Source organism: Homo sapiens, chromosome 12, assembly GCF_000001405.40.
Source record: "Homo sapiens chromosome 12, GRCh38.p14 Primary Assembly".
Classification (NCBI taxonomy): domain Eukaryota; kingdom Metazoa; phylum Chordata; class Mammalia; order Primates; family Hominidae; genus Homo; species Homo sapiens.
In genome coordinates this window covers 7,488,585-7,504,014 of record NC_000012.12, presented here as the reverse complement: position 1 = coordinate 7,504,014, position 15,430 = coordinate 7,488,585, and the positions used below count along the sequence as shown (strand labels likewise).

Sequence of the window (15,430 nt, the reverse complement as noted above, 5' to 3'; positions counted from 1 at the left end):
GAAGTTCAAAAATGTAAAATATTTAATTCAGCAACAGCAGCATATGAGTTAGTATTTCCTCTAATTTTTCGAAATCTGTGGGAAGTGTTTCCCAATTTCCTTTGGTTGTTTCATGTGCTATATTGAAGAAAACATGAGTATGAAATGGAACCTCAGCTCTTTCAATGACTTCCCTTTTTGAGTTGACTCCGCCTCCATATGTAGCCTTTTCATTTTCATGAAAGTGAAGTGATTTTTAGAATTCTTAGTTGTTTTCTTTAGAAGAACATTTCTAGGGAATAATACAAGAAGATTTAGGAATCATTGAAGTTATAAATCTTTGGAATGAGCAAACTCAGAATGGTGCTACTTGAAGACTCTGGATCTGCTGGTAAAAGCTTCTCATTTATTCTACATTTCCCCTTTAATGGGGTATGTAATTATTATGACAGTCAATGGATGTGATTTAAAAGTGATTGGCATCAGGAGAGTAAGGAGTGGAAAAAGGACATAGGCTTATATGGCAGCACCTTTGATCTGCCATAGATTCAAAATTGAAGATGTGATATGGGAATCAGAGTCGGCATTAATTTTGTAAAACTGCTGAGGTGAAATTAAGTCAGGAACTAAAGTTAACTGAAATGTACTGAGTATGAAAAAATAGTTGTTAGAAAAGATAGAATATGCAGAAAGGAATATTGATAGAGAGTTAATTACATAAAGAAAGTTATCTACTCTGATAAGTGAGTTATCTATTTTAAGACTTATTTGGACATGTTAAAATCATTTAGCATTTTTAGTTTTAAATTAGTGTTGGGTTAGAGTAACGAGAAGATATGAGAGTAATAACAGCATTAAAGAGTGTATTATGTGATAAGGATACAGGTAGAGATGACAAGATTTAATATTTGAGTTTTTCAGATATGGATATCATCACTTAGGTATTGTTCTGCTAGCTACTATTTGGCAAGCATCAAGCCAGGTACTGGTGAAATTATGGTGAACATGATAGATATAATTCGTTTACTCATGGAACTTATCCTCTATCAGTGCGGCTAGGTAGTCTTAAAGATGGGGGCATCCATAATTGAATATCAAGGTGGTTAGGGAATAGAGAAATCTCAGGATACCTTCCCTGTGCCTGCTGGGAGAATTGTCCACTACTAAGTTTCATTGATGTTGTTTCCATTTTCCAGGTTTTAAGGGTTGACCTTGCAATTCTCGTTTCCACCACCAACCTTCTGCTAATCCGTCACCTCTAGGTTGCCTATAAACATGAACATTTTCAAAACCATTTCACTGAAACTATATGAGCCTGGGTATGAATGTTTTCTGCCTGCCTTGCAATTTAGAATGAAGAGTTTTCTGTCTTGGTTTGAGCTTCTTTGTTAATTAACCTCTGAAACCATCTATCTTCTCCAAAGTCTCTTTTTGGGAAGATGCTACTTTTGCCCTCTTTTCTTTTTCACAGACTTCAGAAGACATTTTGTCAACTTGAGTCCCTTCACCATTACTGTGGTCTTACTTCTCAGTGCCTGTTTTGTCACCAGTTCTCTTGGTGAGTACTTTGTCAAATTTACTTACAGCCTTAGCCCACTCTGACAAGAACAGTTAAAAGGCAAACAATTTTTCTGAAGGCCAAGTAGCATCTAAAAACTAGGTGACATGCTCCATGTATTCAAAGGATCAGATATTATTAAAAGCACACAATAAAAATCTAACCAAAATATTAGCATGGTTCCTCACCAAATGAAATAAACTCACAGGAGAGAAATGAATTTTACTTAAAGATTAGAAATAATGTTGAACTGAAAAATAGGAAAGAATACAAAGGAGGAGAAACTTCAGAATCATTAAAACAAAAGTGAATTTGGGAAACACATTAGTAAATTCAAATGCCAAAATTTATCTAAAAATGTATTGAGAGATGCCAGGTTGGTGGGACCAGATTCCTACATAAAGCTAAAATAATGCCAAGGAGGCAACTGAGATCATCTATCATCTGGGGATGGGAAGAGAGTACAAAGAGGTTTATTTTATGGTAGAAAATAGCAGAAAATATCTCCATCTTAATTTTAGATAAGTTTCAGTCTAGCGTTTTTAAGATTTATGCTATTTTACATATACGTATGAAATAAGAGTTAAATTTCTTACAACTAGTCTTTTCATCTTCATAAATTCTCTATCAGCCTTCTTTCTATCGACCTTAGGATTTTGGAGAAATGTAAAAAGTTCATCCCCATAACGTTTTGTAGCATCTTATTTAACTCGAAAATGCTTCACAGGAATTATATAAATTGCCACTATTAAGGCTATCCAGCCATAAAATAAAGCTATTAAACACTATTGTGTTACTTACCTTTACTGGTCATATAGCACTGCTTAATTTGAAACCAGTGATACTGATACTTATATTTGAATGACTGTGAAATAACATTCTTCTGTTTTACCATGGATAGGACTAGGATGGTTCTCAAATCTGAGTTTGAAGGATAAATAAGTAATGTAAAAAAATAATTTTCTACTTGCTCTTTGCGACCTTGGCCAATTACTGTCTTAATCCATTGTTGCAGGAGGAACAGACAAGGAGCTGAGGCTAGTGGATGGTGAAAACAAGTGTAGCGGGAGAGTGGAAGTGAAAGTCCAGGAGGAGTGGGGAACGGTGTGTAATAATGGCTGGAGCATGGAAGCGGTCTCTGTGATTTGTAACCAGCTGGGATGTCCAACTGCTATCAAAGCCCCTGGATGGGCTAATTCCAGTGCAGGTTCTGGACGCATTTGGATGGATCATGTTTCTTGTCGTGGGAATGAGTCAGCTCTTTGGGATTGCAAACATGATGGATGGGGAAAGCATAGTAACTGTACTCACCAACAAGATGCTGGAGTGACCTGCTCAGGTAAGACTTGCATTAGTCAAAGCCTCAACACAAAATCCTTGGTGGGAAAAAAATATGTAGATGGGTTAAAACCTAGAATAAGCCACTTTCCTGTAAGCAATCTAGTTCATGTATAAAAGTACTCCATCCATTGCTAGAAAACCACAAAACACGAGGTCATTTTTTTTTAATAAAAAAAATTCTGAACACTGTGATTAATGAGGAGGTGACTGGCTTCAATTTTATACATGATCTTAGCCAAAAAGCCAAGAAGTGGTGGTTTAAATTTGATATTCAGTAAGCTTACTGTAACCTACTATTCCTATATCATAAAAATATCATGACATCTAAGTTATTTCCTTGTTCTTTCCCAGTGACTTGTTTTGATATGTTGACCCACAAATTATTACCATTTTGTCCATTAACTGATAATCAACTTAGTAAATCAAAAAACAACTATTTCTAGCATTAATACATCATTTCTTGTTGTAGGAAGGATTCTTTGAAAGTATAATTGCTTGACCAGTGTGCAATGCTAGTCATTTCATTTACATTGTGCTTTTAATTTACAAAACATCTCCATATGTTTTATTGCAATTGACCCCACAATAACTGAGAAAGTCATGTGTCAGGCCTTTCTGCTGACAAATCCCAAGGGCACATTTCTGATCCAACTCAGATTCCTGGGATCCCCATTTCTTTTTGTTTGTTTCATTCCTTTTTTTTTTTTTTTTTTTTGGGACGAATTGTCGCTCTTGTCCCCCAGGCTGGAGTGCGATGGCGCTATCTCGGCTCACTGCAACCTCCACCTCCCGGGTTCAAGCAATTCTCCTGCCTCAGTCTCCCGAGTAGCTGGGATTATAGGCACCTGCCACCACACCTGGCTGATTTTTGTATTTTTAGTAGAGACAGGGTTTCACCATATTGGCCAGGCTGGTCTCGAACTCCTGAGCTCAGGTGATCCACCTGCCTCGGCCTCCCAAAATCCTGGGATTACAGGTGTGAGCCACCGTGACTGGCCTGTTTCATTAATTTTTATACAATCCTCTCACCTCCCAGCCTCTCTCTCTCCCATAGGACTGACTATAGAAAGGACTTATCTCTGTCCAGGCATCATGATGTGATAAGAGAAACACACAGTAGCATCTAGAAAAATGCTGAAATAAATTTTCACATAGCTAATATCCTGTGATTTTGTGCAAGTTGTCAAATCTCTCTAAACTTCAGTTTCTGAGGATTCAATGATATAATACATGTAAAACTACTGGTACACTGTTTGGTATGTAACAGGTGCTGAAGATCCTCATGGCTCAGTTCTCTTGGTGACTCAGTTCTCTTTCTTCTTTCTCCGCTTCCTCTTCCTCTTCCTTCTCCTCCTTCTCCTCCTTCTTTCCTCTTATTTTTAACCACTATGGGAGGTGTGAAATGGGGAATAACAAAAGTAACATCTACTGCAAAGTTTAAAATTATCATAAATTTTAGCAGGCTCTTATCATAATTATTGCTGTGTATAGAACTGGCTGTTTAGCTAAAACAGTGTAGTACTTTTAGCTCTTTTTTTCTGTTGTTTTATAACTACCAGTGGAGTTAATCAATTTGCTTTTTGAAATTTATACACTTAAAGCTTTAACCTGAGTCAAATTTAAATAACTTGAGTCGAATTTATCTATTTCTGTACAAAAAAGAGTATTTACATCTGTCCTAGTAATAGATGGAAACAAAACAAAACAGAAAGTTTAAAAACTTTAACCTGTAAACATTTTCCTTTGTAAGTAGATATAGATAAAAATCCTAATTGCTTCCTAGATTTTAACATATTAAAATTCTCTACCGTGTGGAGCTGGGCAATGTCCAAAATCAGGCACCATTTTAAGGACAACATAAAATCCCAAGTGTCCAGAGGAAACTTCTTTTCTAAAATCACTTCTAAATGAATGTAACTTCTGAACTCTGGTCTTTTCTCTGCTCCAGATGGATCCAATTTGGAAATGAGGCTGACGCGTGGAGGGAATATGTGTTCTGGAAGAATAGAGATCAAATTCCAAGGACGGTGGGGAACAGTGTGTGATGATAACTTCAACATAGATCATGCATCTGTCATTTGTAGACAACTTGAATGTGGAAGTGCTGTCAGTTTCTCTGGTTCATCTAATTTTGGAGAAGGCTCTGGACCAATCTGGTTTGATGATCTTATATGCAACGGAAATGAGTCAGCTCTCTGGAACTGCAAACATCAAGGATGGGGAAAGCATAACTGTGATCATGCTGAGGATGCTGGAGTGATTTGCTCAAGTAAGGACTGATCTTGGCTCATTCTATTCTCCAGGAGAGGACAAAAGAAAGGGGTAATAAATCTTAAGAGCCTGAACTCTTAAGAACATAATGAAGTCTGCTTCTTTTGTCACCGCATTTTAACCTAACTTCAGGTTCCAGTTCTGATACCTGTGGACTTTTTACCTTAACTGAAATTAGGAGAAATAGGTTAGGGAAGTGCATAGTGAAACTGAGATCCAGGTCATAAGAAAAGAAGAAAGTGTTTAGGAAAAGCCCATAAAGAAAGGGAGAGACCGAAAAGAAAAAGAGGGGAAAAAGGAAAGAAGGAAGGGCTTTACTAGGATATTTTGCACTATGAAGTTTTATGACCAAACCACTCCAGTTATCATCTAATCCACAAAAGCCTCCTCATTAGCCTCATTAACCCACTCCTTCCCAAATCATTTTTCAAGTTCACAGAATCGAATCACTTGTTAAAAATCAATATTGGTTTCTCATTAAAACTTTATTTATACTAGATATGCATTGTATCTGTCTAGAGACTTTCACGTTGTATACTCAGACTGGGGGCGGGGAAAATCGTTTGTGTGTGCAGAGATACCACTCTTCGTTTTTCTGTTGAATTCTTAGTATAAAAGGAGATTGAGTGTGTCTTGAACCCCAGAGAACACTTAGGAAAATAAGAGTAAAAAATCCCTATCTTCACCAGATCCCTTTCTCTCTCTCTCTCTCTCTCTCTGTGTGTGTGTGTGTGTGTGTGTAAATAAAGGAACTTCCATTCAAACTTGTTTAAAAAGAAGAGAATACTGGCTCACAAAACTGGGAAATCCAGAGGGTATAGTTAGCCTCATGCATGGTTGGATTCAGGTTCTTGAACAATGTCATCTGGGTTCTATCTCTTTCTGCATGTCTTGAACAAGCTTTTTCTTGTTGAACAATGTGATCAGCTATAGCCTGAACCACAATGAATGGAACTCCTACAAGAAAGATAGATTTTGTTAGGTTAAGAATGTGAAGAATTTGGAGTAGAAAAAACACAGACTGTACCTTCCATTCTCTTTTACCCATCAACATTTCTCTAGGCCCCCAGTTAGCACATGCTGACGAATCACAATCCCACAATGAATAACATTGTGGGAATGAAAACGGAAACTGCCAGAGGAAACAACCAGTTTAATTTATTACAGAATATTCTTCAGAATCAACGTCTGTTCTTTGAAGAATATTGATTTGGGGAAGGTGAAAATTGTAGTACTGAAGCCTCCTTTCTCTTTGCTCTGCTTTTAAACTAAGGAAGTGGTCACAACAGGTTCAGGTGTACAACACAGGCTAGGTAGTATCAATGGAGAATGCAGTCAGAGGCAAAAGGGATTGCTAAGTATGGAGGCAAACTGAAGGATGAGGGAGTCACCTAAACACATGCAAATATATTTTAACCAGAAAAAGTAAACAGTTCTAACAAGAACTCTGTGGTGGTCAAATAGCAGGTCTCTAGATGAAATTCAGTCCCTGTATCTCCTGTTAGAAACACTTCCTGTAGTATATGCTGTCTATACTGAGATGTCCCATCTTCTTGCCTGATCCACTCCTCCTTCCATCTTGAATGATTTCCAGTGGTAGTACAGTACATCACAGTTTTCTCTGTCTCCACTTATATCTCTCCCCTTTTCCTTAACTCATCTCAGGTATAGCTATTTATAGTCTCATGTTCTTGCTTCCTTATCGCAGACCTGTTGTGTGTCTCTGTTACAGAGGGAGCAGATCTGAGCCTGAGACTGGTAGATGGAGTCACTGAATGTTCAGGAAGATTAGAAGTGAGATTCCAAGGAGAATGGGGGACAATATGTGATGACGGCTGGGACAGTTACGATGCTGCTGTGGCATGCAAGCAACTGGGATGTCCAACTGCCGTCACAGCCATTGGTCGAGTTAACGCCAGTAAGGGATTTGGACACATCTGGCTTGACAGCGTTTCTTGCCAGGGACATGAACCTGCTATCTGGCAATGTAAACACCATGAATGGGGAAAGCATTATTGCAATCACAATGAAGATGCTGGCGTGACATGTTCTGGTAAGTTAAAACCAAACCAAAACCAAAACACTAAACAAAAAGAAAAGCAGAAACGGAAAGTCCTGTGCTCCTTAAGAGTAGGAACGTGCTCCTTAAGAAGTAGAAATGCCTAGTAAATTCCTTGCTGGGAATTCCTTTATACCTGTAATCTTTGACACATTCTTTATTCAACTAGTTTGGAAGGTTGTCTGACGGCATTCTCTGTAATAATTACTCAGACTGCTTTTATGGAGCACACTTCAAACTCAGAATCTACCTGGAGCTCAGAGAGACAAAATTTCCTAGGAATCTGTTTTTAAATTTTTTTAATTTACTTATTTTTTTACTTTAAGTTCTGGGATAGATGTGTTGAATGTGCAGGTTTGTTACATGGGTAAACATGTTCCATGGTGGTCTGCTTCACGTATCAACCTGTCATCTAGGTTTTAACCCCCCATGCATTAGGTATTTGTCCTAATGCTCTCCCTCCCCTTTCCCCCCACCCATTGACAGGCCCCAGTGTGTGATGTTCCCCTCCCTGTGTCCGTGTGTTCTCATTGTTCAACTCCCAGTTATGAGTGAGAACATGCAGTGTTTGGTTTTCTGTTCTTGTGTGTTAGTTTGCTGAGGATGATGGTTTCTAGCTTCATCTGTGTCCCTTCAAAGGACATAAACTCATTCTTTTTTATGGCTGCGTAGTATTCCATGGTGTATATGTACCACATTTTCTTTATCCAGTCTATTATTGATGGGCATTTGGGTTGGTTCCAAGTCTTTGTTATTGTAGATAGTGCTGCAATAAACATACATGTGCATGTGTCTTTATAGTAGAATGATTTATAATCCTTTGGGTATATACCCAGTAATGGGATCGCTGGGTCAAATGGTATTTCTAGTTCTAGATCCTTGAGGAATCACCACACTGTCTTCCATAATGGTTGAACTAATTTACACTCCCACCAACAGTGTAAAAGCTTTCCTATTTCTCTACATCCTTGCCAACATCTGTTGTTTCCAGACTTTTTAATGATCGCCATTCTAACTGGGATGAGATGGTATCTCATTGTGATTTTGATTTGCATTTCTCTAATGACCATTGTTGATAAGCTATTTTTCATATGTTTGTTGTCCGCATAAATGCCTTCTTTTCAGAAGTGTCTGTTCATACCCTTCACCCACTTTTTGAGGAATCTCTTTTAAAGCTGAATTGCTCATATCTTTCTGCCATTGACAATTTTTATCAACCCTTGAAACTACAGTCCCATTTCTAACAAAAATTTATGGTCTATATTATTGTTTCTTAAAAAGTCAGGAAATAAGTTACCTATAATTTTCAATGCATCAGTATCAGAGAAGAAAAAAGACAAAAAAAAATCCTCTGGAAGCTAACCTCCATATGTATCGATGGTTTAAGTTTATGTTTCTTTTGCAGATGGATCAGATCTGGAGCTAAGACTTAGAGGTGGAGGCAGCCGCTGTGCTGGGACAGTTGAGGTGGAGATTCAGAGACTGTTAGGGAAGGTGTGTGACAGAGGCTGGGGACTGAAAGAAGCTGATGTGGTTTGCAGGCAGCTGGGATGTGGATCTGCACTCAAAACATCTTATCAAGTGTACTCCAAAATCCAGGCAACAAACACATGGCTGTTTCTAAGTAGCTGTAACGGAAATGAAACTTCTCTTTGGGACTGCAAGAACTGGCAATGGGGTGGACTTACCTGTGATCACTATGAAGAAGCCAAAATTACCTGCTCAGGTATGACTTTCAATCAACTTGTTAAGAAGAAGGGTGTAAATTTCCAGTACTACCTTTGAAATTGAAAAGAAACATTGGTCCTTATGACTAGATCACTCTCAAGAAACCAGGAAATATCTACACAAATTCCACTGGGAGAGTCAGATAAGTTTACAATTCATGTTGCACTTTAGATAGAAGTGTTTGGGTTTTGCTCACTTTGGTTTTTGAGTAATTTTTAGATCAATAGAGGTATAAGATTAAGGAGGATTAAAATTTAAAAAATAGAATTCAATATTTCTTTCACAGGATGTCACCAAAAGATTTAAAAAATAACCATGTTAGATAAACTGACATAACCTTCAGCTCCCTCTATTGTACTGTGAAAGAATTTTCTTTTTTTTTGGAAAACCTGTGAATATTTCACTGCAACCTCTTTAAAAAGCTCAAAAATGAGTTGTAAACTGGTTAGGTTTGTGGATAATCTTTAGTATTTTATGCTAATTATATTTATACAAATGTTAACTTTGTTGAAAAGTGATGCTTTTTAAATAACTCTAAAGTAAATGTAACTTTTACTCATGCAACAAAAAGGCTTTAGAAAACACAGTGTACAAGAAAACCATTAAACATGTAGAGACCTCACAGAATGGAAACTTGTACGTGCTGCATGTCCTCTAACCAACAATATGGCTCCAGATACCTCCCAACCTAGGCATGCAGTGAGGGGCATTTCCCTGATGTTACAAATGGTGCTTACCTCTAGTTAAGTAGAAATTATCCTCCGATTGAAAAAAGGCAATCATTTAAGATATAAATTTGAATTTCTATATTACTTTTTAAAAAATATTCTGGACCAGGCAATATAATCACATGGTTTAAACTTCAAAATAAAAAAGTGTAAACTCTTCCCCCACTACTATCCAATTCTTTTCCTCACAGACAACTTATGTGGTTGGAATATTTATATATTATTTGAGATATTTCATGTAAATACAAGAAAATACAAACAAATCTATATATAGCTATCATTTGCTTTCATTATCCAAATGGTGGCATGTTGTATAAATTGTTTTGTACCTGAAGTATTCACTTAGTAAAATTTCTTGATCAAATTTCACATCAGTATTTAAAGAGCTGTCTGAAATTACTTCCATATCTATAACATTTCTTATAATTTATTACCGTGTGTATTCATTTATTCTTTTAATTTTTTACCTGACAAGGTTAGCCATTCTTTTACCTAAATTTTTTTTTAAAAAACCATTATTTGGATTTTAAAAAATTAATGTTACTTTTATTTCCTTTCTAATTCATTAAAATTTACTTTTCTTTCTAATAATTCTCTTCAGATTTCCTAAAGTTTGATTTCTTTTTGGCCCCCAACTTCTTGAGTTGAATCTTAAGTTTTATTTCTTCTGATTTACTAATATAAATATTTTAGGTTATAGATTTTCCTTCTAAATTTATAATGGTTTGTATATTTTCTTATTAATTGTATTTTACATTGATTAGCATTAAGTTCTGCTGTATCTAAAAGAGAAACAAATAATAGTGACTGAAGAAAGACAGTGTTCACTTTTTCTCATTTAAAATTAGTCAAATAGATAAGCAGTTTAAGGCTGTTTTGGTGTCTCTGTTGTCACCAAGAAACATCCAGAATAGATTTGCTGCAGTAAGTATCAAATCCTACCGGACAGGAAGGATAAGCCACCCCGCAGCTCAGTGAGTTCCTTGGAAAGCCAATCTGGTAGACGAAGTGCTGGCCTCTGAGAAGGTGTCTTCTGTCCGCTGTCCTTCATGGGCCCCAGTGTTGCTCTCAGGGCAGTTCTTCCTGGCACATTATTCTTCACAGTTACATCCAAGTTTGGTTTGGAGAGTATCTCTATCTAAGGACAGCACACCTTTCACAACCCACTTTCTGCTAATATTGGTTTAGGGACCTTTGGATTAAAGATTGACTAATCAAGGGCTGATGTCAGCTGCCCTCAAATTCAACAAAAAAGTTCTTTCCAAGGTTACTAAGCTTCTAGTCTACTTGCTTTATAACCCAATGCCATCTGAAAGTAACTATAGTCCAAGAGCATATAAATATACTTTGATCTATGCTGTGACCAGCCCTTCTCTTTAATTATTGACCACTGCCTTAAGGCCGTTTGAAACTGTGGGTTTGGGAGGAAGGACAAGACCTAAATTCCGTCTTTGCCGGTAGACTCATTGCCTTTGTATCTGGAGTATCAATTTTATCTTCTGACAAGGCTACAGTTTTACCACCACCTCAATTTGGGGGGACAGGATACTTAGAGTTTTTTCTTCAATTCTTCAATTCCAAATTATAGGACTCTTGATTAACAATATACAACACCTGCAGGCAGACCATACCCCCTTATAAAATTGATATTTCTCCTCCCATTTCTGCTTGCATTCTGACTGCTTGTAGTCTGAATTCATCTTTCTTGTAAATGCTAAAAGTGGCAAGGAGAATCCACGTCATGCAAATATTCTGATTTTTTGTAGTTTTGTTTCTTGTACTTTGCCCAATAAATTCTGCATTTTTTAAGCATCAGTGAGCACACGGTTTTCTTTTCAAAGTGAGGCTTACCCAAATATTTTACCATGTGTAAGACTCCTTAGGTTTTTAGCCTCTCACACCTGAGTCATTAATGCATTCTGCCCATCAACTCCATTCAACCACACCCATATTTTAGGTTGCATTACTAGAATACCTTACTTATGGTAACATGTTCTAAATTATTCAGGATTCTATTCAGATGTGTATAATAGAAATCATGAATAACATAAATTTGCAACTTAAGGTGGGCTCCGTACTTCACAGAGCTGTATTTTTGTTTGCTATTTGCCATGTGCACTTTTTGTTTCCTTTTACAAACTCTTTTGTTATATTGCTGTAGGTTTTGGAAGTTCTTCTACTTATGTTGGGGGCCTTGGTTTTTAGCTTTTTACATGTTTTGTTAGTAATATAGTTTGTACTTTTGTTTCTTTATTTACTTGATACTTTCAATGATGACATACTGTCTCTGTCAATGATGATATGCTGTCTCTGTGCCTGCCAAATTCAAGCTACGAATTTGATCATCTGTTTAAATTGTTTAACTTTTATATAGTACAGGGCTATACAGCTTAAAAGAACCAGGAGAATTCAACTAAGCAGGAGAATTGGAAACAATTTAAGATAAATTGTTGACAGAAAAAGGTCTAGGAAATTTTGGCCACAAAATTACTTTGAATCTCAGACATTTTGTTTGTGATGTCTGTGTATGTACTGTAGAGGACATCTGACCTTAAGAAACAGTTCATTTGAGCTATGCTGTCTTTTAACTTAGGATGGAGAAATAATTCTGAGATTATGATGATCTATACTTCTTCAGAGTCTGAAAAGCATTAAATGTTGAAAATACATTAAAGCTTCTTTAAATCATAATTGTATATTTTATTTATCACTAAACAAAAGGAAGTAATTCTAGTTAATTATGTCTCTAATTATGTTAAAGCTCTTTGTAGATCTATTTATTTTTCTAGAAAAAGAAAGAAAAACAGATTCAGTTACTTATGCCAGGGGAAAACTGTAGTTGTTGATCAATGGTGCTAAATCCAGGTGCAAAAATTTACTTAATGGTTTTTATGTAAAAACACAGTCAGAGACTTAGCAGAAAAAAATCCATTAAAGGGATACATTTCCAATATTCTATCCATGTCTAAAGAGTAACGATATAAGCAAAGCGACCCATAGGATAGATTAACATGTTACTAGCAGATTCACGAAATAAAGGCTGAGGATGGAGTCTCCAAGTCACTTTCTGAGTTGGAGAATTTGTCCTCTGCCTTGACTCAAATATGTTAGTACAAAGAAAACAAGAGGATACTTATAGAAGGGACTTTTTCTCAATTGCTTAATGAGTTTTCACAATGGAAAAGAAAATATTTTTGTTTGTTTGTTTGTTTGTTTTTCACTGGTTTTCTTTTGGTTTATTTTGTTCAAGATGGGTCCAAATGAAAGAGTAAGAAGTTACAAGAAACCAGAATTTGGCTTGATCTAGGAGACTGCCTTTACTTAAAGATTTAGGGCTGTCCAAAAGAGGTTGGGATCATATGAATACTAGTTAATGATATCTTAGAGAAATTTCATGCTTGAATAAAGATTCAAAAAGAAGAAATGAAAGACCATCCCACTCAAGGGTCATTAATTATTTGTATTGTAGAGGTGTTATTTGCTTTAAACTCTGAGCTATGTTTAGAAAGCAACATGTTTTTCATTTCAAATTTGGATAGGAATTTGCTTTGCGCAGATTTAATGGATAATGGGTGAAATTTTGACATGTTGAGGTATTCTATATTGCTGTAGTACAGAACATGGTCATATTCGAAACATTTTCTAAGACATTTTTGTATCAGGTGAAAGGTTTATGAGAGATGAAAGGAAATCAGAGTATGTAGATTGGCAAGGGCTGATGGTGTATCTATATCATTGTGATAGTAACATCAAGAGATTACAAAAATTGTTGATATTTGATAGCAGGTATCTATAAAGGACTTAAGACCTTCAGAAGGTCTAATTTTCAACTGCATTTTCTTTATTTCTCTTAAAGAACAAGTTAAAAGAAATAGTTTGTATCTCTTAAGTACTTTATATTGCCTCTGAGTATTTTCAAAGAAACTCACTTATCTTGATGATTGTGTTTCTTAACTTGACAAAGAGCATCTTCATAATATAAATTCCATTTATTATTTCTGGTGTGTCTTTTCTTTATATTTTAAATTTCAGCTACAGTAAGTTACTTATAATTCTTCAATGACACCATGCATTTCGTGACCATATTCCTTAAAGATTGTTTCACACACTGTGTATTTGGCAAACTCCTCATCTTTTTTCAAGATCCAGTTTAGATCTATGTTATTCTCTCCCCCATAGTCTAAAACAGAGTGAATGACTCCTTTATTTGTTAGTTTTATGTCTAATACATATTTCTATTTTTGGGTTCATCACTATTAAAATATGTATATCTTGTAGTGAACTGTGTTCATGGAGGAGAAGGCTATTAGTGAGAAATTGAACAGCCTTGAAAAGAAGTAGCCTTTTCCTAGGTATATAAGGTAGGGAAATAAATTTTAAGTAGAGAGAAAAGTTTCTACAGAGGCACAGAAGCATGAAAATTACGGCATGCCCAAGCATCTTTAGGCTGGAGCATCAAATTAGGTTGATAAAGTAATAGATATTAAAGCTTTTAAGGTAACAGCATACTATTTTAAAGTGTACTAAAGAATTAGTGTTTATCACCTCTCCTTAATTTTAATAGCTGGACGAAATTAGGGAATCTATGAAAACTGTTTGTGCTGCAGTTTGCTCAGAAGAAAAATGGGAGTGGTAATAGGGCCTACCTCACAGGAATTACACAGTGAGCTATAAATACATGTTAGCTAATATGATTATGATTATTATTTTTAGTATTATCTATCTTCACTGACAGACTGAATTCTGTGGCGGCCTTTTTAACCCACCCATCATCAAATGCCTAAAATAGAGTCAGAGAACATTACAGGTTGTTACATTATAGGTCATTACATTGATACTTTTGGATTAATTATTGCATACATGATTATTACAGAAATTATAAGAAATTATGTAAGGGATCATTGCATACATTTTAAGGAAACGTTAAGTCATCTAAAGGAAAAACATCACATGAAAATATTTGAAATTTATTAATATATTTATAATCATGGCATAAATTTCTTGGAAAAAAGACTTTGAAGCAAGGAAACAATTTACGAAGCTATTGTAGAGGTCTGCATGACAGATGATGACAAATCACTTTATGGCAATAGCAACAAATATGCAGAAGAAGAAATATGCTGGAGGACCAACAGATATGGTGGTTTTCTACATGTTCAATGTATCATGAAAGTCAACATTCTAGGCTCTGGAATATACTGTCTGGCTTCAAATTCTGTTCTCTTACTAATTCTGTAGTAATTTCTTGTGTGACCTTAGCAAATTACTACACCTCACCTCTCTATGTTTCAGATTCCCTGTCTGTAAAATCAGAATGATATTAACAATTATCTCCTAAGGCAATTTTAAGGATTGAATGAAATAATGTTTGTTAAATGCTTATTGGAATGCCATATATGTAATATAATAGACGCTCACTTAATATTCACTGCTATCATTATTACCATTATTTGTGGTGAGATAAAGTGGGTCAATTTTAGGTGGTTCTAATTTGGCCTGTATATCATTAATTAAGTAAAGAATATAGTGGGCTTGTCATACAATAATTCATTCAACTTTGAATACTTTAAGCTCCACATGTCTAAGCAGATACGTTTGTGGATCTAAAATTAAAGAAAAAAGTATGGATGAAAATATATTTATTAGCAGTTGAGACATGTCCATTGAGCAGATGAGAAGGTTACGGACAGAACTTTGACTCAAGGAATACACGAAATGTTTTGATAAAGCACTGTCAGAAAGAATGGAGGAGAAAATGGGACAAGA

The 15,430-nt window shown here is 35.8% G+C and overlaps 1 protein-coding gene and 1 long non-coding RNA gene across 8 annotated transcripts in view, besides 1 other annotated feature; one reads left to right on the top strand and one right to left on the bottom strand.

Moving 5' to 3' along the window:
- Nucleotides 238-15,430, top strand: part of CD163 (CD163 molecule) — a 32,967-nt gene continuing 17,774 nt past the window's right edge. For 6 of the 7 annotated variants that reach the window (NM_001370146.1, NM_001370145.1, NM_203416.4 and 3 more), the window contains exons 1-6: nt 238-370; nt 1,451-1,537; nt 2,553-2,876; nt 4,827-5,147; nt 6,882-7,202; nt 8,614-8,934. In NM_001370146.1, the coding sequence (NP_001357075.1) occupies nt 325-370; nt 1,451-1,537; nt 2,553-2,876; nt 4,827-5,147; nt 6,882-7,202; nt 8,614-8,934 (1,420 nt within the window). In that variant the 5' untranslated portion in view covers nt 238-324. The remainder of the gene's footprint in view (nt 371-1,450; nt 1,538-2,552; nt 2,877-4,826; nt 5,148-6,881; nt 7,203-8,613; nt 8,935-15,430) is intronic. The other variant, NR_163255.1, reaches the window with a different exon arrangement.
- Nucleotides 5,966-6,467: an enhancer, noted in NCBI's record as "NANOG hESC enhancer chr12:7650144-7650645 (GRCh37/hg19 assembly coordinates)". NCBI's record gives its function as "activates a minimal SCP1, AML or CMV promoter by ChIP-STARR-seq in primed H9 embryonic stem cells {active_cell/tissue: H9 hESC(primed)}" and the evidence as "EXISTENCE:reporter gene assay evidence [ECO:0000049][PMID:30033119]".
- On the bottom strand, nt 8,761-10,824 carry LOC124902870 (uncharacterized). Its single transcript, XR_007063197.1, has 2 exons — nt 10,607-10,824; nt 8,761-8,987 (listed from the first exon to the last, which is right to left on the bottom strand). It is a non-coding gene; the product is annotated as an uncharacterized LOC124902870 (long non-coding RNA).